The sequence below is a fragment of the Homo sapiens genome, chromosome 14 (assembly GCF_000001405.40).
Source record: "Homo sapiens chromosome 14, GRCh38.p14 Primary Assembly".
Taxonomy (NCBI): Eukaryota; Metazoa; Chordata; class Mammalia; order Primates; family Hominidae; genus Homo; species Homo sapiens.
Genome location: NC_000014.9, coordinates 102,251,380 through 102,273,817, shown reverse-complemented (window position 1 = coordinate 102,273,817; position 22,438 = coordinate 102,251,380). Strand labels below are relative to the sequence as shown.

Sequence of the window (22,438 nt, the reverse complement as noted above, 5' to 3'; positions counted from 1 at the left end):
TAGTTTCAGCTATGTTTTGTTTTTGTTTTTGAGACGGAGTTTTGCTCTTGTTGCCCAGGCTGGAGTGCAATGGCATGATCTCAGCTCACTGCAACCTCTGCCTTCCGGGTTCACAGGTTCTAGAGATTCTCCTGCCTCAGCCTGCCAAGTAGCTGGGATTACAGGCACGTGTCACCATGCCCAGCTAATTTTTGTATGTTTAGTAGAAGACAGGGTTTTGTCATGTTGGCCAGGCTGGTCTCGAACTCCTGACTTCAGGTGATCCGCCCACCTTGGCCTCGCAAAGTGCTCAGATTACAGGTGTGAGCCACCTTGCCTGGACGGTTTCAGCTGTTTTGTAGTTTCACTGAAAAGGTCTTACGTGTCTTTTGTTAAATTTATATCTAAGTGTTTTATGTTTTATAACATTATTATAAAAGGATATTTTAAACATTTATTTCCCATTGTTAGCCATAAGTATGTAGAAATGCAATTAATTTTTGTTTACTTTGTATTTTGAGAAATTTCTCAGGATTCACTTATTTTTTTTTTTTTTTTGTTCTAGTATGTTTTGGTTGCTTTCTTAGGATTTTTTACTTAAAGAAATATGTCACCTGCAAATAGAGACAGTTTTACTCTTCTTTCCCAATGTTGATGACTTTTTTTTTTGAGACGGAGTTTTGCTCTGTTGCCCATGCTGGAGTGCAGTGGCGCGATCTCAGCTCACTGCAACCTCCACCTCCCGGGTTCAAGTGATTCTCCTGCCTCAGCCTCCCAAGTAGCTGGGACTACAGGCACCCGCCACCACGCCTGGCGAATTTTTGTATTTTAAGTAGAGACAGGGTTTAACCGTATTGGCCAGGCTGGTCTCGAACTCCTGACTTTGTGATCTGCCCACCTTGGCCTCCCAGAGTGCTGGGATTACAGGCGTGAGCCACTGTGCCCGGCCCATGACTTTTTTTCTAGCCTTTCCCATTAGTTCAGATTTCCAGTACAATATTGAATGCAAGTAGCGGGGAAGTGTTCAGCATTTCAACATTAGAAGCATGATGTTTGCTGTATATGTCTTTTATCAAATTGACAGAGTTCCCTTTCATGAATAGCTTGCTGAGAATTTTTGTCCTGAATTGGTATCGAATTCTGTCAAATGACTTTTTGGTATTATTATTTTTTCCTTTTTCTTGTATTGTGGTGGATAACATTCATTCATTTTTGAATAATAACTCAACCTTGCATTCCCAGTATAGCTGGGATTCCCCACTTAGTCATAACATATGATCAGTTTTACATGTTCCTGGATTTGATAGTATTTTGTCAAGTATTTTTGTATTTGTACTCATAAGGGATACTTTTTTTTTTTTCGTGATGGAGTCTTGCTGTGTTGCACAGGCTGGAGTGTGGTGGCGTGATCTCGGCTCACTGCAACCTCCGCCTCAAGCAATTCTGCTTCAGGCTCCCAAGTAGCTGGGATTACAGGCGCGTGCCACCATGCCTGGCTAATTTTTGTATTTTTAGTAGAGATGGGGTTTTGCCATGTTGGCCAGGCTGTCTTGAACTCCTGACCTCAGGCAATTCGCCAGACTTGGCCTCCCAAAGCACTAGGATTACAGGCGTGAGCTACCATGCTTGGCCTATACTTTTCTTATTATATAAAAGTCTTTGTTAGGGAGTTAGGCGTGGCGTCTCATACCTTTAATCCCAGCACATTGGGAGGCTGAGGTGGGAGGATGGCTTAAGCCCAGGAGTTTGAGGCCAGCCTGGACAAGATGAGACCTTGTTTCTACAAATAAAAAACAGCTGGGCATGGTGGCAGGCACCTGTGGTCCCAGCCACTTGGGAGGCTGAGGTAGGAGGATGGCTTAAGATCAGGAGGTCAAGGCTGCAGTAAGCAGTGATTACACTACTGCACTCCAGCCTGGGCCACAGAGTGAGACCCTGTCTCAAAAAAAGAAAAAGAAAAAAGTCTTTATTAGGTTTTGCGGCTGGGTGCAGTGGCTCACACCTGTATTCCCAGCACTTTGAGAGGCTGAGGTGGGTGGATCACTTGAGGCCAGGAGTTTGAGATTAGCCTGGCCAACATGGCAAAACTCTGTTTCTACCAAAACTACAAAAATTAGGTGGGCGTGGTAGTGCATGCCTGTAATCCCAGTTACTCAGGAGGCTGAGGCACAAGTATGGCTTGAACCCTGGAGGCAGAGTTTGCAGTGAGCCGAGGTTGCGCTCGTGCACTCCAGCCTGGGCAACAGAGCGAGAATCTGTCTTAAAAAAAAAAGTTTTTGTTAGGTTTTGGTATAAAGGTTTTCAGGTCTAACAGAACAAGTTGGGAAGTGTTCATTCCTCCATTTTTTGCTGAAAAAGTTTGTGTAAGAGTATTTCTTTTTTAAATGTTTGAAATAATTCACCAGTGAAATTGTCTGGTCTAGGAGTTTTCCTTGTGGGGAAGGTCCCTCCCACAATGATGTTTATTATAACATCATTCGTAGTGATAAAAAGATGGGATCACGACGAAGTGGTGGAACAAGGAATGACCTCAAGGCACATCTGTATCAAGGAATATTAAAGAAAAAAACCAGAACTATGCCAAATAATTTGGAAGGATTTCCATATGATTTTTTAAAAGCTTTATTGAAGGATGATTTCCTTTTGTTTCTTTTGAGATGGAGTCTCGCTCTGTCATCCAGGCTGGAATGCAGTGGTGCAGTCTTGGCTAGCTGCAACCTCTGCCTCCTGAGTTCAAGCAATTCTCCTGCCTCAGCCTCCTGAGTAGTGGGGATTGCAGGCACCTGCCACCATTAATTTTTGTATTTTTAGTAGAGATGGGGTTTCATCATGTTGGCCAGGCTGGTCTCAAACTCCTGACCTCAGGTTATCCACCCGTCTCGGCCTCCCAAAGTGTTGGGATTATAGGCGTGAGCCACTGTGCCCAGCCTGAAGTATAATTTTCCTTTCATAAAATTCAGCTATTGTAAGTGAGTTTCAGGACATTTATACGGCTGTGCAACTGTCACCACAATTCCGTTTTAGAACACTTTCATCATCTGTTGGGAGGTTTTTGATAACAACTAATAAGAATAAAATAGGGCTATTTTATTAAATAGGGCTGTTTCAATTTCCAGTTTTATTTTGTGTCAGATTTGGTAACTGTGTTTTTTGAGGAATTTGTTTACCCTAAATTGTCATATTTATTGGCATACAGTTATTTGTAATACTCTCATTATTATTATTTAATTTTTTTTTTTTGAGATGGAGTCTTGCTCTTGCCCAGGCTGGAGTGCAATGGCACAATCTCGCCTCACTGCAACCTCTGCCTCCCAGGTCCAACTGATTCTCCTGCCTTAGCCTCCTGAGGAGCTGGAATTACAGGCACCCTGCCACCACGCTTGGCTAATTTTTGTATTTTTAGTGGAGACAGAGTTTCACTGTGTTGGCCAGGCTGGTCTCGAACTCCTGACCTCGTGATCCACCCACCTTGGCCTCCCAAAGTGCTGGGATTACAGGCGTGAGCCCCTGTACCCGGCCAAGGGGGACATTTAGATAATTGATTTTAACCCTTTCTTCCTTTAGTATTTACACATAAGTATCTTTCTAAATCCTGTTTTAGCTGCATCTCATAAATTTCTATATGTTGTGCTTTATTTGGTTTGAAATGTTTTCTAATTTCCCTTGTGATTTCTTCTTTACTGTTTAATTTCCAAATATTTGAGACTTTTCTAGATAACTTACTGTACTGATTTCTAATTTAATCCATTGTGGTCTGAGAACATGTTGTGTAAAGTTTTCAGTCTTGAAATGTATTGAGACTTACCTTATGGTCCAGCACATTATCTATATGGATGAATGTTTCATATATACTTGAAAAGAATATTTTATATACAGTTGTTGAATATACTGTTCTGTAAATGTCAATTAGGACAGGTAGTTAATAATGCTGTTAAGATCTTCTGTATCTTTACTGATTTTTTTGAAAGATTGTTCAATCAATTATGGGAGTAAGGTGTTAAAATCTTCATCTCTTTCTTTAGTATTGTCAACTTTTCCTTTATGTATATTAAAATTTTCTCATTTAGGCCAGGCACAGTGGCTCACGCCTGTAATCCCAGTACTTTGGGAGGCTGAGGCAGGTGGATCACTTGAGATCAGGAGTTTGAAACCAGCCTGGCCAACATGGTGAAACCTTGTCTCTACTGAAAATATAAGAATCAGCCAGGCATGGTGGCAGGTGCCTATAATCCCAGCTACTTGGGAGGCTGAGGCAGGAGAATCACTTGAACCCAGGAGATGGAGATTGCAGTGAGCCAAGATCACTCCACTGCACTCTAGCCTGGTCAACAGAGCAAGACTCCGTCTCACAAAAAAAAAAAAAAAAAAAGCTGGTTGTGGTGGCTCATCACTTTGGGAGGCCAAGGCGGGTGGATCACCTCAGGTTGGGGGTCGAGACCAGCCTGGCCACTGTGATGAAACCTCATCTCTACTAAAAATACAAAAATAGCCTGGGATAGTGGTGGGCACCTGTAATCCCAGCTACTCAGGAGGCTGAGGCAGGACAATAGCTTGCACCTGGGAGGTGGAGGTTGCAGTGAGCCTAGATCGTGCCACTGCACTCCAGCCTGAATGACAGAGCAAGATTTTGTCTCAAAAAAAAAAAAAAATTCTCTTATTTGACACATACACATTTACAATTGTCATTGCTTCCTAATGTATTGACTCTTTTTTTATCATCATGAAATCATAAGTAGTAGTAATCCTTATTTTGCAGTCTATTTTGTCTAATATTAATATAACCATTTCTTCCTCCCCTTTACTTTGAGGACTTTCTTCATATAGATTGTATTGGTTAGATAAACTTATTTTCCATAAAATTCATCCAATAAAATGAAATGTTGAAATTTCATAGTTGATCTTTAAATAATTTTTTTTTTTTTTTGAGACGGAGTCTCACACTGTCGCCCAGGCTGGAGTGCAGTGGCGTGATTTCGGCTTACTGCAAGCTCCACCTCCCAGGTTTACGCCATTCTCCTGCCTCAGCCTCCAGAGTAGCTGGGACTACAGGCACCCGCCACCATCCCGGCTAATTTTTTGTATTTTTTAGTAGAGACGGGGTTTCACTGTGTTAGCCAGGATGGTCTCGATCTCCTGACCTCATGATCCACCCGCCTCGGCCTCCCAAAGTGCTGGGATTACAGGCATGAGCCACCGTGCCCAGCCGATCTTTACATTTTTTTTAAAAGTCTGAGTCCTGGTGATCATAATTTGTTCCATTTGTAGATTCCACTTATGGTAAATGTCATCTGGTTCTTTTCGGAGCAAAGGCTGCCTACATTCCTCTTACATTCAGTTCTGTGGTATTTTGTTTCCAACAGAACAATAAACAAAAACAAACTGAATGTCACCTGACAACAAAATTCAACGCAACTCCAAGGCAAAGAAAAGTAGTTTACTTCCAGGTTTTTTTAGATTTTTTTTTTTTCATGATTTTAAAAGAGGGGACAGAGTTGATTTGAATTTTATTAAGCACTGTTATTTGAACAGTTGCTAGATCCTGATATCTAGCAATATCCAGGAAAATGTGCCTTTCTAAATATTTGTCTTAGCTCATTATTTCTCAGTGAATGCCTGTGGAGACATGAAAGAATCCTATCTACAATAAGCAAAATATGTTTTGGGGTGTGATAACTGGTTTTCCTATTACAGAGGAGAAGAATGGATATTTGTGTAAATAGCATAGCTGTTTGGCTGCCCGGTTCTAAAAACTAAGTTTTTCAGATCGGGTGTTCAAAAATTGGAACTACTGCTAGCTTGTTAGCTTCTTGCTCTTTCCACCTGAAGCAGGATTTCTCTATCTCAACACTGTTGGCATTTTGGCCTGGAATTTTTTTTTTTTTTCTGTTCTGTGCATTGTAGAATATTGAATGATTTGTATTCATTGGTAAATAGCTGCTGTCCTGACCCTTCTGAGTCTCGCCTAGCCCCCTTGTTCAGCACTCCCTAGTTCTGGCCACTTTGAGGACCCAGCTCCAGCATGGTGGGCTGTGTCTTTTCTGATTGGTTGTGGACCTGGGGTGCGAGTTGCTAACACTTTCAATACCAACTTGGATGTGAGGGAGGAAATACAGGATACAAATGAAAATGGGGGCTAGAACTTTTAGTCCAAAAATATTCTTAGGCTCTTCAGGCTATTCTGTTTTCAGGCTCTTCTTAAATATCAGGCTTCTATTTGTTGGCTAACATGAGAGTGACTTAAAATATTCAGACATATTTATTTATTTATTTTTTGAGATGGAGTCTCACTCTGTTGCCCAGGCTGGAGTGCAATGGCACAATCTTGGCTTACTGCAGCCTCCACCTCCTGGGTTCAAGCGATTCTCCTGCCTCTGCCTCCCAAGTGGCTGGGATTACAGGCACGTGCCACTGCGCCCGGCTGATTTTTGTATTTTTAGTAGAGACGGGGTTTCACCATGTTGGCCAGGCTGGTCTGGAACTCCTGACCTCAGGTGATCCACCTGCCTTGGCCTCCCAAAGTGCTGGGATTACAGGCATGAGCGACCACGCCTGGCCTCAGCCATATTGATTTTAAACTATACCTATACTACTACTGGGTACTCTTCAAATAACCAAACAAATGTTGAACTTTCCAATATATGTTAAAAGTTTATAGAACAGAATTTGCCAGTTGAAAAAATAGTCCCACAATTAGTTCCTTTTGGAGCCCCTGAGATGAAAATTTCTGGTGAATTGAATTATTCAATTAGGTGTGACCCCATGGGCCTACCGTGGTGAAGTGGCATTCTCAAAAGAGGTCTGTCTAGAGGGCAGTGATAGCTAGCCTCAGGCCTTGGGCCTGATTGCACTGTTTTGGCATGATTTGTATTGGCAGAGCAGTCTTCATAAAGAAGAGCCTGCAATAAGGCACACCTGCCAAGAGAATGCTTGTCACCAAGTGAATGAAATGGAAAAGAGGGCCGGGCGTGGTAGCTCACACCTGTAATGCCCGCACTTTGGGAGGCCAAGGTGGGTGGATCACCTGAGGTCAGGAGTTTGAGACCAGCCTGGCCAACATGGTGAACTCCATCTCTACTAAAAATAAAAAAATTAGCCAGGCATGGTGGCGGGTGCCTATAATCCCACCTACTTGGGAGGCTGAGGCAGGAGAATCGCTTGAACCCGGGAGGCAGAGGTTGCAGTGAGCCAAGATCACACCATTGCACTCCAGCCTGGGCAACAAGAGAGAAACTCCGTTTCAAAAAAACAAAAAATCAAAAAGAGTATAGCATCATTAAAGATAAGAAAGAGGCCGGGCACAGTGGCTCACGCTTGTAATCACAGTACTTTGGGTGGCTGAGGCGGGCCGATCATTTGAGCCTGGGAGTTTGAGAGGGCATAGTGGGATGCACCTGTGGTCCCAGCTACTCAGGAGGCTAAGGTGGGAGGATCACCTGAGCCTGGAAGGTTGAGGCTTCAGTGAGACATGATTGCACCATTGCACTCCAGCCTGGATGACAGTGAGGCTTTGTCTCAAAAACAAAAAAAAAAAGGAGGGGTGGGTCTTTTCTTGGAACTTTGAAATGCTCATTTTCAGATAGTGTATCTATAAACTGAAGACTAAATCTTAATTATTAATCTTATTAATTAATCATAAGTTTTAATGTCTACTTTTATGTTTGTTAATATGTAAAATAAACTACCAAGTATTCTTTCAGGATCTTAGATGGGAAAAATTTTAACGTATGTTCTAGCTATAAGAACCTTGATTTTTTAATGCAGCAATGAGGTATGCTTAACTTCAGTTTCTAATGGGAGAAATAAAACCTGATTAACTTGCTTGAAATATTTGTGAGTTTTAAAATTGTGATCCTGGATAATAAGTAACTCTAATTTTGAAGTTGACCTAAACTGTGAATGAGCTATCCATTTTTACCTACACGATAGTATTGAGCAAGTCAACAACCTACGAGAGATCCAAGCACTGAGGCGCCTGAATCCGCACCCAAACATTCTTATGTTGCATGAAGTGGTTTTGTAAGTATATTTGGAGCTTGAAAAGTTATCTAAATTTGATGAAAATAATCTCTTTTTAAGAAAGAAAACCATGGTAGACATTTTGAATATTTACTTTGTAGCTCAGAGAGTAACCATTTTTACTTCATCTTACATCACATTTTTATTTGGAAAAATGTGCATCTGATTCTTTTTTTTATTATTATTTTTTGAGAAGGAGTCTCTCTCTCTGTCATGCAGGCTGGAGTGCAGCGGCGTGATCTTGGCTCACAACAAACTCCGCCTCCCTGGTTCAAGCCATCTCCTGCCTCAGCCTCCCGAGTAGCTGGGATCACAGGCACCCACAACCACGCCCAGCTAATTTTTGTATTTTTAGTAGAGATGGGGTTTCACCATGTTGGCCAGGTTGGTTTCAAACTCCTGACCTCAGGTTATCCACCCACCTTGGTCTCCCAAAATGCTGGGATTACAGGCATGAGCCACTGTGCCCGGCCAGCATCTGATTCTTAATTAATGTGGAAATGCCTTCATTTAGGTGACTCCACATCATAAAAGCATCCGTCATGCAAACAGTTCATCTCCTGGAGCTCAGTTAGGCTGCTAAGGTCTTGAGTGTGAATTTTGACCTACTGGGAAAGCACTGTTTGTGTTATTTCAGGGATTGTACATTCTCATTCTGTCCCTGCCAGTTGCCATTTCTGAACAGTCTCCTGTAGTCTTTCTTACTGTAATTGATAACATTTCTGGGGATTTTTCATTTCTGTTCTAATTATAGAATAGTTTCCATAAGGCTTATCTATCATTCAAAAAGGCAGAGCACAGCTTGTCCCTCGGTGCCTGCCTGAGCCTGGGAAGCCTTCTTCCTGACAGCTCTGTGCTGTGCTTACAGACCTCACTGAACCAGGGAGTCAGGCTACAGGGTTTTGGGACCTTCTTTGCTGTGGGCTAGAATGGCACTGACACTCTGAGAGGGTGCACCTCAGTGTAGAAGCTTCGCTGTGGCTCCGGAGGGAGCCTGGCCTGTAAGATCGGCCAAGGAACTCCAGTTAAACTTCACTGCCAGTTAAAGTCTGGTAGATTTTAATCAGAGAATGAAACAGTTTTAAACTCAAAATGAAATGTCTTGTTATAACTGTGTGGGTTCCTGTCCTGTAGCGTTCTTAGAAGTCAATTTGGGCCAGGTCCAGAGAGTGCAGTTTGTATGTAATAGTCTCAACACTGCATGCACGTCGTGCACTTCCCACGCACTTTACAAAGTACTCTGTCCAGAATCTCACATGGACCTCGGAACAACCGAGACCTCTTCCAGCCAGATTGGAGGCACCCAGAGTAGGGTCTGGGATGATACAGGCTCTTGCTCAGGACTCTGGGAACCCTTTAAGGGCCTGCTTGAACTCAGAAGTTGGTGGCTCAGCCAGCAGTCTCTGTCCCTATTCTGTGTCAGCGTTGATATCACACACTTGTGATGTGACTCGTTTTTCTCTTTTTCCCCTGACTGGTTTTTGGTTTTTACTCTCCCATTGTGATTTATCCCAATTACATGGAAGGAATTTAGCTAAATTAAAATTAAATTTGCAGTCATGGAGCACGAATTAATTTTCTTTCTTTCTTTCTTTTTTTTTTTTTTTTTTTTGAGACAGGGTCTCACTCTGTTGCCCAGGCTGGAGTACAGTGGTACGATCTCGGCTCACTGCAACCTCCGCCTCCCGGGTTTAAGCTATTCTCCTCCTTCAGCCTCCCGAGCAGCTGGGACTACAGGCACACGCCACCACACCCAGCTTTTGTATTTTTAGTAGAGATGGGGTTTCACCATGTTGGCCAGGCTGGTCTCAAACTCCTAACCTGAAGTGATCGACCACCTCGGGCTCCCAAAGTGTTGGGATTACAGGCGTGAGCCACCACGCCTGGCCTCTTTTATTGTTTTGCTTACCCAACTCCCCAACCTTTTTCTTCTTTCTGCTGATAATTAATTATGTATTTTCAAGACATATCTGTTTTCAACTTCTAGAATTTTGTTCAAAGTTGGGTTTTGCTAGTATTTTTAGTTAATTTTATCTGAAATACTGATTTAAAATCAAAACCTTTACTGTTTCAGCAATTACACTGTAGTATTTGATGTGGGAGTACCTAATGTTTACTAGAAATGTTTACAAATGAATTAAATATTGGATTATATTTTCTGATTAAGGCCAGAAAATTTATTTTAAAAACTTGCTTTCTTCTTCAGTGACAGAAAATCTGGTTCTCTTGCACTAATATGTGAACTTATGGACATGAATATTTATGAGCTAATACGAGGTACGTAGAATAATTTGAAAGCTAACCTAAGATCCTCTTTTAAGGCTTGTAATTCATATATGCTTAGTTATTCTCAACATCATTAGTCACCATAGTGCTGTAGTTATATATAATACACAGTACAGGGTCACTTCATTCACCAGGAGGCATTTTTCTGACTGCTCATCTACTCAGAACATGGCTGCAAACAAGAAAGGAAGCCCCAGGCCCTCTGGGTGCCCATGTGATCTGGGGGAGAGTGGCGGGAGGCAGCAGGGGCAGCTCTGCTGCAGAGCGCCTGCAGCCAGCCCCGCCGTGGGCATGTGTGTGCAGGCCCGCTGGCTCAGGGGCCTCTCTGCTCCCCAGATCTGCTGTTGCTCGACATTCTGTTCCATGCCTCTTAAGGCAGAGCTTTCCCTCCAAAATACTGCCCTGCATGTGAGGGAAGCTCCTACCATTTTCCAGGATGCTCGTTCATTTCCTTTTTTCTGAACAATAAAGCACTGTTTAAGAGAGCATGTTTGCCTGAGGTGACCTCAGTCAGGGCTGGTTTGAGATACTTATAGAGGTTGCCTGAGGGGAACAGGAGAAAAGGAGAGGCTGGCCCACACTGAGCCAATTGTTCCTGGGGGTCTGACTAATGGTTGTGTTAGATGTCAGAACAAATGAACCTTGTATATCTCACTAAGAAAGCAACATAGCAAGTGTTACATTTTACAAATCACATTATACCTAGAGGACAGATAAAAAACAACTGTCCTACTGTCACATGAGTGACTACTTATGACTTGGAAAAGAATTTTAGTGACAGCATCATAGATGATTTAGATGGTGTATTATCTTACAATTTGAGCCAAACTGAAGATGATGTGCTATGGAAAATTTTTAGATTGATAAACTATTTTTGTGATGGAAGAAGACACTGATGTTGAAGATATATATGAAGAGTTCAAATAAAATTGTTTTTATGAAGTTGGATAGTGGAAAAAGCATTATATCAATATTTATTTTATATGTGACTTAAAATATGTGTGTGATAGTAAATTACTAACAAAACAAATAGCATAAGTAGCCAAGTTTTTCTACATCCATAAAAGTTGATGTATATAAAGCTGGGTGCAGTGGCTCATGCCTATAATCCTAGCACTTTAGGAGGGACGCCAGTGCGGGTGGATCAGTTGAGGTCAGGAGTTCAAGACCAGCCTGACTAACAAGGTGAAACCCTGTCTCTACTAAAAAATACACACAAAAAAATTAGCCGGGCATGGTGGTGTATGCCTGTAGTCCCACCTACTCAGGAAGCTGAGGCAGGAAAATCGATTGAACCTAGGAGGCGGGGGTTGCAGTGAGCTGAGATTGTTCCACTGCACTCCAGCCTGGGCGACAGAGCGAGACTCTGTCTCAAAAAATAAAAATAAAGGCCAGGGGCTGGGCGCGGTGGCTCACGCCTGTAATCTCAGCACTTTGGGAGGCTGAGGCAGGCGGATCACGAGGTCAGGAGATTGAGACCATCCTGGCTAACACAGTGAAACCTCGTCTCTATTAAAAATACAAAAAAATTAGCCGGGCGTGGTGGCGGGCGCCTGTAGTCCCAGCTACTCGGGAGGCTGAGGCAGGAGAATGGTGTAACAGGAGGTGGAGCTTGCAGCGAGCCAAGATCATGCCACTGCACTCCAGCCTGGGTGACAGAGCGAGACTCCGTCTCAAAAAAAATAATAAAAAATAAAAAAGGCCGGGCGTGGTGGCTTATGCCTGTAATCCCAGCACTTTGGGAGGCTGAGGCAGGTGGATCACTTGAGGTCAGGAGTTCAAGACCAACCTGGCCAATATGGCAAAACCTTGTCTCTGCTAAAAATACAAAACAAATTAGCCGGGCGTGGTGGCATGTGTCTGTAGTCCAAACTACTTGGGAGGCTGAGGCAGGAGAATCGCTTGAACCTGGGAGGCAGAAGTTGCAGTGAGCTGAGATCGTGCCACTGCACTCCAGCCTGGACATCGCAGTGAGACTCCATCTCAACAGAAAATAAAAAAAAAATAAAAGTCAACAAGAAGGGAGAATTTTTGGCAAGTTGCTGTGTGTTTAGACGCTTGAGAAAGCTTTGTTTAGAATATATATATATATATATATATATATATATATATATATATTTTTTTTTTTTTTTTTTTTTTTTTTTTTTTTTTGAGACGTGGCGCGATCTCAGCTCACTGCAACCTCTGCCTCCCAGGTTCAAGAGATTCTACTGCCTCAGCCTCCCAAGTAGCTGGGACTACAGGCATGTGCTACCACACTTGGCTAATTTTTTTTTTTTTTTGTAGGCAGAGTCTCGCTCTGTTGCCAGGCTGGAGTGCAATGGTGCAATCAGCTCACTGCAACCTCTGCCTCCCAGGTGCAAGCGATTCTCCTGCTTGTGCCTCCTGAGTAGCTGGGACTGCAGGTGCATGCCACCACGCCCAGCTATTTTTTTGTATTTTTAGTACTGACAGGGTTTCACCATGTTGGCCAGGATGGCCTTGATCTCTTGACGTCGTGATCTGCCTGTCTCGGCCTCCCAAAGTGCTAGGATTACAGGCATGAGCCACCGCGCCCAGCCAATTGTTTTGTATTTTTAGTAGAGACGGGGTTTCACCTTGTTAGCCAGGATGGTCTCAATCTCCTTGACCTCGTGATCCGCCTTTCTCGGCCTCCCAAAGTGCTGGGATTATAGGAGTGAGCCACTGCGCCCAGCCTTAGAATATATGTATTTTTAGGATACATTTATATTTATTTTCAGTAGTAGAGGAATTGTATAATTGAAGAAATTGAATCTATTTCTTTCAATATCTGTCTACAGCGATTGTAGAAAACAGACCTCGCAGTAGACCTCCATTCATTATATAAATATTGTCTTCCATAGGCCAGGCAGTGTGTTCAGTGCACCAACTCTGAGATGCTGTGAGCAACATGGAGCATCCTAGGTTCAGAGATGTTAAAATGTAAGGAGAATGGCCAACAGTGCTTGTAGGGTAGTAAATATTGAAATATGCATCCTGATTTTAGAGTTGGTAAAATTTGAAAAAAAAGCCTGTCCTAGAATTGATGAAATATAATGATAATGATAATAGCTAACAGTTCATGAATGGTACCCATATGGCCAGGCACTGTTCTTAATACTTTATAGGAATTAACTCATTTTAACCTTCCAACAACCCTGTCAGGCAGATACGGTTATTTTTTATTTTTTTAAGATGGAGTCTCACTCTGTCGCCAGGCTGGAGTGCAGTGGTGTGATTTCTGCTCACTGCAACTTCCGCCTCCTGGGTTCAAGCAGTTCTCCTGCCTCAGCCTCCCAAGTAGGTGGGACTACAGGAGCACGCCACCATGCCCAGCTAAGTTTTTTTTTTTTTTTTTTTGAGATGGAGTTTTGCTCTTTTTGCCCAGGCTGGAGTGCAATGGCATGATCTCGGCTCACCACAACCTCCGCCTCCCGGGTTCAAGCGATTCTCCTGCCTTAGCCTCCCAAGTAGCTGGGATTACAGGCATGCGCCACCACCCCAGCTAATTTTGTATTTTTAGTAGAGATGGGGTTTTTCCATGTTGGTCAGGCTGGTCTTGAACTCCCGACCTCAGGTGATCCGCCCACCTTGGCCTCCCAAAGTGCTGGGATTACAGGCGTGAGCCACCGCGCCTGGCTAAGTTTTGTATTTTTAGTAGAGACAGGTTTCACCATGTTGGCCAGGATGGTCTCGATCTCTTGACCTCGTGATCTGCCCGCCTTGGCCTCTCAAAGTGCTGGGATTACAAGCGTGAGCCACTGTACCTGGCCCAGATACTGTTATTATCCTCATTTGAAACATGAGGACATTGAGGCATGGGGAGATAAGTTGCTTGTCCAAGGTTATATACCTAGTAAGTGGTAGAACTGGGGCTGAACCTAGATAACCTGATCCTAGAGTGCATGTTCTTAACCACCACCCATACCGCCTCATGACAACCCTGTGTGGTTGGCACTATTTATTATTCCCATTTTACAGATGAGGAAATTGAGTCTTGAAGGATTAAGTAATAATCCAAAATTAAGCTGTTAATAAATGGCAGAACTGGGATTTGAACTCAAGCCTGACTCTGAAATCCTAAGCATTAAGCTCTGTTGCTGCCCTGGGTCTCTATTTCTGGGCCCAGCTCAGTGCCTTAAATGAACAGAGGCACCTAATTATTTACGGTTATTGATGATGATGCTTCTTTAGTGAAAACTGAATCAATCACTAAGGCTTTAGATACCAGAATGGCAATTTTTGTGACTTAAATTGCTGCTCTCAGGTTATTAGAATATTGAGGAGCACTATTAAAGACTAAAGAATAAGATAATAATGAAATAAGGGAACGATCACATAGCCATTATTGAATTGTCTACTTTACAGCAGTGTGCAAGGTCTGGCAAGAACTGGGAAGATAAAGAAGCAGCATGTCAGATGCATGTTTTTTATATTGAAAGAGTATATAGTCTTTTTTTTTTTTTTTCTTGAGATGGAGTCTCACTCTGTTGCCCAGGCTGGAGTGCAATGGCACGATCTCAGCTCACTGCATCCTCCGTCTCCTGGGTTCAAGCGATTCTCCTGCCTTAGCCTCCCGAGTAGCTGGGATTACAGGTGCCCACCACCACGTCCGGCTAATTTTTTGTCCTTTTAGTAGAGACGGGGTTTCACTATGTTGGCCAGGCTGTCTCAAACTCCTGACCTCGTGATCTGCCCGCCTCAGCCTCCCAAAGTGCTGGGATTATAGGCGTGAGCCACCGCGCCCAGCCTGAAAGAGTATATAGTGTAGTGTCCACATAAACTATATGAAAGTGATATCATAAGAGAAAAGGAATTGCTGGGGTAGATTTCTTTTTGTTGAACAGGTGTCAGATGAGGCAGAGATGGTGTGGGCTGGGAAAATAAGGCTTTCCTGGAGGAGTGGTAGAATTGGACAGGTGCGGGAGAGGATGTCCCATTTGCAGTGACATGCCATGGGCTATTCCAGAGGCAGGGACATGGTGGGGAACACAGCAGACACAGTTCCCACCCATGTGGAGCTCACACTTGATGAGGAGAGACAGGAAACAAATGAAATTATCAAGAATATCAGTCAAAATGATCAAGAATTCCAGATAGGGATAAGTGCTGTCAGTGAATAAAACAGGCCAATGTGTTAGAGAGTGATGAGGATAGAGTACTTCAGGCAGAGGGACAGCCAGTGCAAAGGCCCTGAGGCCACCGTGAGGGAAGAGGCCCATGTGGCTGGAGGACATGAAGGAGAGTTGCAGGAAACGGAGTAGGCAGGCATCGATGAGGCTGGTAGGGCGAGGGTAAGAATTTTCGTTACTCTAAGTTCAATGGGAAGCCATTATTGGGCTTTAAAGCAAGGGAGAGGTGGTTTTCAATTGGTGTTTAGACCAGTGTTTCCAAAACGATCACAGAAGACCAGTTGTTTTATTTCTAATATATTGCAGACCAGAATTTTTGTAAAATATAGTAAAAATGAATTACCAGAAAAGTGATCACGTGCTTAGATGTCACAGCATGTCAAATTGCTATAAGTGGTTCTAAACAGGTATTCTTTTTTTTTTTTTTTTGAGACAGAGTCTCACTCTGTTGGCAGGCTGGAGTGCAGTGGCGTGATCTCTGCTCACTGCGACCTCTGCCTCCCGGATTCAAGCAATTCTCCTGCCTCAGGCTCCCAAGTAGCTGGGACTACAGGTGCGTGCCACCACGCCCTGCTAATTTTTGTATTTTTAGTAGAGACGGGGTTTCACCATGTTGGCCAGGATGGTCTCGATCTCTTGACCTCGTGATCCGCCCACCTCAGCCTCCCAAAGTGCTGGGATTACAGGCGTGAGCCACTGCGCCCAGCCCTAAACAGTTATTCTTAATTTATGTCATCTCCTCTTAGACCAGTAACAGTCCCTGAACCATCATCAGCTCATGGACTGTGCTTTGAGTAGCATCTTTTTAGAAGGAATTCTCCAGTTGCTGTTTAAAGAATAAATGTGCTGTAGGTGGATGTGTTGGTTCTCCCTTTTAGTTGCAAATAACAGCCTCCCCTATTCTCTGATTAACTCAAGAGGGGTTACTCTGTGATATGGATAGATTGCCAGAATTGTTGGGAGGACTGAAGAAGCAGACTCTGGGCTTGGCCTATAGGAAGTTGCTTCTCACAACTCTGCTCTCCATGATCAGGCTGCTGGCCCTGCCGCTGACAACGCTCTGCAGAATAAAGCTGCTGCAGCTACCAGGCCTGGAATCATGCCTCTTCTGCCAGGATCAGGAGGCAGCCGTGATCCATGCCGTCAGAATAGATGCCTTCCCTCCTCTCATCTGCCCCCATACCTGGGCCAGAAGCATCTTTCCCAAGTGTTCCCATTTAGGCAGAGCCTAAGTCACATCTGGAACACTCAGCTGCAAGGCAGCATGAAGAATGTCATTTGGACGTTCAGGCCTGGCATGCTAGATGGGGGTTTGGGATAGGACCTGAGCAAGCCAATCTGCGGGTGTGCCATGAAGGCAAGAGTGGTGTGGGAGCCTGGGGAAGGGATGGCGAAGGCCCTTTGCCCGCCACTGTCTCTGGATGAATGTCTCTGAATTCTTTGGCGTGAGTTAGTAATTGGGGTGAATAGAGCATGGCTACCCGCCAGCGATCCTAGTTTGTGTATTTGGGCGCGTGTGCTTATGGCTCTGGGCTCATGCCATCTGCAGTAGGAAAGCCTGTCTTGGAATTTATGAAGGAAAAACCGTAAAGGAGGTTTAGTTTCCCTCATACTCTGACTATAGAGGCAGCTACTCTTTTACAAAATTGTATCTGATTCTGCTCTTTTTTTTTTTTTTTTAACTGTTTCAAGTTAAATTCATAGGGCCAGGTGCAGTGGCTCACGTGTGTAGTCCCAACACTTTGGGAGGCCAAGGCGGGAGGATTATTTGAGCACAGGAGTTTGAGACTAGCCTAAGACTCTGTCTGTACAAAAAAACAATTTTTTTTTTTTGAGACGGAGTCTCGCTCTGTTGCCCAGGCTGGAGTGCAGTGGCGATCTCAGCTCACTGCAAGCTCCGCCTCCCGGGTTCACGCCATTCTCCTGCCTCAGCCTCCCGAGTAGCTGGGACTACAGACACCCGCCACCACTAAATTAGCCTGGCTAATTTTTTTTTGTATTTTTAGTAGAGACGGGGTTTCACCGTGTTAGCCAGGATGGTCTCAATCTCCTGACCTCGTGATCCGCCTGCCTCAGCCTCCCAAAGTGCTGGGATTACAGGTGTAAGCCACCGTGCCCAGCCCAAAAAATTAAAAAAAAAAGCATCCGGGTGTGGTGGCACACGCCTGTAGACCCAACTACTCAGGAGGCTGAGGTGGGAGGATGGCTTGAGCCCAGGAGGTCGAGGCTGCAATGAGCTGATTGTACCACTGCACTCCAGCCTGGGCAACAGAGTGAGACCCTGTCTCAAAAAAAAAAAATAATAATAACTCATTTGCCTTAATGAATGGCTAGTTCGTAGTTCTCTCCACCCTCGCTGGAGGGGCGTGTGCTGGGGATGCCGTCATTCTGCAGGCTACAGTGGCAGCTGTATTCCTTCAGTTAGTGCTGAGTCACAGTGAATGCCTTGGTTTATCACTGTGTTCACTTAAGTTTTTAAAATTATTAGTATCATATATGACATTCCTTCTTAATGAGAATATTTGGTAAAAATTAACTTGTAAAAATTACCTTGGTCAGGATAGCTAGAGCAGATGAGGGAAATGCTTTTGGGGCCTGCTGGAATTCACTAAGGGGCATATAAGAAACTTCTGAGTAACTCGTTAATTGTACTCTATTTTACTTGTTTCAAACTGTTTGAAAACAAGAATCTGATGGGAACCAGATAGTCTTGGGCCCGGAAAGTTTGTTCTGGAGAAGCTTATGGAGAGTGGCTAGGCAGTGCTTTCCTTTGCAAGGGTGTGGTCTCCAGCACTTCAGACTACTGGGCCCACACTGTTGCTCTGATACCTCATGCCAGCAGTAACACCCCCAACTACTGGCCCGGGACCAGGACGGCTCCCTACCCCTAGGGCTGTGAATAGGGAGTTTCCAGGAGGAGACCCAGGGAGGCAAGGAAGGGTGGGCACCTGAAGAGGACTCTTACCTGGGACTGAAGGCATCTGAGAAGCACAGATTCCTGGCCCGCATGCCCGTTTGTGGCTCCATTAGGTCTAGGTTCAGGCCTTGAAATCTGCTTTTTTTTTAAATTTTATTTTATTGTTTTTTGAGACAGAGTCTCACTGTGTCACCCAGGCTGGAGTACAGTGGCACGATCTCAGCTCACTGCAAGCTCCGCCTCCCAGGTTCACACCATTCTCCTGCCTCAGCCTCCCAAGTAGCTGGGATTGAAGGCGCCTGCCGCCACGCCTGGCTAATTTTTTGTATTTTTATAGAGACGGGGCTTCACCGTGTTAGCCAGGATGGTCTCGATCTCCGGACCTCGTGATCCGCCTGCCTCAGCCTCCCAAAGTGCTGGGATTACAGGCTTTTTAATCAGCTTTTTAAAAGACTTCTAGGTGATTATGAAGATTGGATAGATTAGACTTTTCCTAAAAGATTCCACGTTTCCCAAGTTCAAGTTCAGATGACTCTAATGACAATTTTATGATACGAGTAAGATTTAAATGTGTGGACATGGCTGGGAAGGGCGTTCCTGGAATGGAACATCATGAATATAGGTACTAAGCAGGCGAGCTTTGGGAGCAACCAGAGAAGAGTCCATGAGGGAATTCACCTGAGCATTCGATAAACAAGAAGGGGGTGGTGGGGCATGGTTCTCGAAGCGAGGACCCAAGACTAGTAGCTGCACCTGGGGCTCTAGTTAGGCGACTGTGGGGCCCCATTGCAGACCTTCTGAATCAGACATGTGGGTGGAGATGGGGAGGGACAGTATGTGTCTTAGCAACCCACTCGTGGGAGTCTGAGAACCCTTTTGGTGGAGAGGAATTGGTTGAAGGGGGTCTTGAGTGCCGGGGTAAGTCGGGAGCAGTGAGACTGGGTTTGATCACAGGACCCAGGAGCACCTGATGAGATGAAATTCCAGCAGCTTCATTCTGCTGCGTGTGTGAAGGCAAATGGAAAGTTGCTTTCTTTTTATCTGTTATAGATATTAATTTAATAAGATTCCAGAATTATCAGCTTGGGAAAGCTGATAAAGGTCTTACTTTTGATTCTTTTGATTTTAATTCTGGAAAATTGATGATAAATCATGTGAAACAATAAAAAGATGATAGTATGACACAAAAAAGTTAATTGCGGCCAGGCGCAGTGGCTCAAGCCTGTAATCCCAGCACTTCGGGAGGCCGAGGCGGGCGGATCTCGAGGTCAGGAGTTCAAGACCAGCCTGGTCAACATAGTGAAACCCCGTCTCTACTGAAAATACAAAAAAATTATCAGGGTGTAGTGGTGGCGGGTGCCTGTAATTCCAACTACTCGAGAGGCTGAGGCAGGAGAATTGCTTGAACCTGGGAGGTGGAGGTTGCAGTGGGCGGAGATCGTACCAATGCATTCCAGCCTGGGCGACAGTGCTACACTTCGTCCCAAAAAAAAAAAGAAAAAGCTAATTGCACCTAGACATTTTACAATTTAAATTACTTTCTATTATTTATATATTCTTGTTAAGTAGAGAAAAAGAATAATTTTAATTTTTCAAAAGAAATTGTAAACTTAGGACCAAAAGTGTCAAATGGTATATGTGCTCATGGAGGGAGGAAGTGGATTTCCAAACTGTTAGGTGAACATGGTCATTGTGCAGATTTAAAACTTAATAACTTAAAACACACACTTTGAAAATTAAAATCAAGTAAAATTGACATCTTCTGGAACAGGGGTAAACTGTGATGCTGGGCATGTGGTATGACGTCTTCAAGCACGGTAGAAAGCTGCGGGCACCAAGGCACAGCCAGCCCAGGTGCTGAGTACAGGGCAGCTGCAGGGGACTGTGCCAGCCACGCTAAACGGCCTCTCCTGTGAAAGAAGACATGTGGACTGTGACTGAAAGCAGTTGAACTGCTTCTTGAACTGTGATCTGTCCCCCTTTAAAGTGGACATCTCCACATAAACAGGAAAGCCTAGTGGAACACTGGGTTGACGAGTGACTCCTAACATTTTCATAATCAGTGTAGGCTGAAGGACAGCGTCCTGGAAGGCCTCCGAGGCCGGCTGAGGCTGTCAGACCATGCTACTTGTGTGACGATTGCTCAGTGCTGTTCCCACTGAAACCATAGCACATGCGCTCTGAATGTTCACAGAGCTGACGCATGTGCTAATTGCCCCGATTTCATCCTTACACATTGTATGTATGGATCAAAATAACACTCTCTGGGTCCCATTAGTAGGTACAATTACTACATTTCCACTAAAAAGGAAAAAAATTATCAACAATTCTGTCATTCTTCAGTAACGTTTATTGTTTATTAATTTTTTAATTGGCAGTTTCCCAAACCTGCTTCACCTGTTTCAAAACTCAGAAAAACCACGTGTGCTAGAGCAGCAGCAGAGTCACTATGCAGCTGATAGAGCTGACTCGCCCGGGGCTTCCAAAACAGGCCCTTGCGGTGTCTCCACCATGTTTATAGATTTTGTTAAATTTGCAAAAATAAGATATTTCAACCACAAAGTTAAGACTGCCATCTCTTCTATTTTAACCTCTCCTATGTCATATTTCCCCTCTTAGCGTAACCGTGAAATAGCCGTGGACATGTCTGGAATCTTGTTAAGGGTTGGCTGGGATACATTTATATGCTTTGCAGTCTCTTCCATATATTAATAGTTACATTATTGCTGGCCATCTCATTTGGGATGTCTTCTAGGAATACTCTGAATATGGTCAATTCAAAGATTAAAGAGCATTCACTCCATAGAAAACTTGAAATATGAAATCTTATAGCTCAGATATGAAGGAAACTTAGCAGTTTCCCCAGATTTGACAATTCTAAAAATTACATGGTGCTACTAATACATAGTTGAGGATGTAAAAGAAGCCTCTATAAACTGCCAAAAAGAAAAATAAAAAGGGATTTTCCATTAAAAATGTATGTGCTATGTAATTTTAAATGAGATCATGCCATTATATAGATTTTTTTTTTTTGGACGGAGTTTTGCTCCTGTTGCCCAGGCTGGAGTGTAATGGTGCCATCTCGGCTTGCTGCAACCTCCACCTCCTGGGTTCAAGCGATTCTCCAGCCTCAGCCTCCCAAGTAGCTGAGATTACAGGCACCCGCCACCACACCCGGCAAATTTTTGTATTTTTAGTAGATATGGGGTTTCACCATTTTGGCCAGGCTGGTCTCAAACTCCTGATCCACCCACCTCAGCCTCCCAAAGTGCTGGGATTACAGGTGTGAGCCACCGCCCCTGGCCAGTATATGGAATTTTAAATGGTATGTTTTGTAGGCACACTACATATTTCCTAAGACTACTTCAGATTATTTTTTACAGGGGAACTTAGATTTTCACACATTGTTAAATAAAAATAGATTATTTTTATTTCAAAAAAGAGGATATGTACCATCAGTAACCGTATTTGCCTATTTCCTTGATTGTACAGGGAGAAGATACCCATTATCAGAAAAAAAAATTATGCACTATATGTACCAGTTATGTAAGTCCCTGGATCATATTCACAGGTATGCTCTCGGAGATTTGACAGCTCTGAAATTAATAAAATGTGTTAACATTCAGATTCAAGAATTTGAATAAATGAAGTGTAATTCTATTTTTCCTTTATACTGAATGCAGAAATGGAATATTTCACAGAGATGTAAAACCAGAAAATATACTAATAAAGGTAAGAGCTTTTACATGAAAGCTGGGTATCAGAATAAAAGCTGAATAGAAAATCTTTCCCGAAAGGTTTTCTCCTCCTACCAGAGGAACTTTCAGTCCATGCGGCTAGACAGCCTGTTTGTTACAGTAATTTTTTTCCCTCTCAGGTTGTAAAAAATGGTTTATTTAATAAATGCCATCAACATAACTGACTGCACCTGGAAGAAAATAATTGAAAGCACCATTTTCACACCGCAGACAAAAATGAACCCTATTCAGACGGCCGTTCAAACCTTCTAGAGGGAAATGTGGCAGAGGCAGGATTTGAGCTCAGGTCCGTCTCACTCCCAAGCCACTAAACTACCTGTGTTTAAACCGTACAATTTGCTGTTTCCCAG

The 22,438-nt window shown here is 43.7% G+C and overlaps 1 protein-coding gene across 26 annotated transcripts in view; it reads left to right on the top strand.

Moving 5' to 3' along the window:
- Positions 1–22,438, top strand: part of MOK (MOK protein kinase) — a 90,569-nt gene that overhangs the window by 31,347 nt on the left and 36,784 nt on the right. For 12 of the 26 annotated variants that reach the window (XR_007064041.1, XR_007064040.1, XR_007064039.1 and 9 more), the window contains 4 exons: positions 7,906–7,995; positions 10,202–10,272; positions 21,823–21,901; positions 22,014–22,062. Coding sequence is in view for 17 of the 26 variants with exons in the window: in XM_017021556.3 (XP_016877045.1) it covers positions 7,906–7,995; positions 10,202–10,272; positions 21,823–21,901; positions 22,014–22,062 (289 nt within the window). In the remaining 9 variants the exon portion in view is untranslated. Of the gene's footprint in view, positions 1–7,905; positions 7,996–10,201; positions 10,273–21,822; positions 21,902–22,013; positions 22,063–22,207; positions 22,375–22,438 lie in introns of all 26 variants that reach the window. The other 14 variants (NR_148553.2, NR_148552.2, XM_047431647.1 and 11 more) reach the window with 3 other exon arrangements.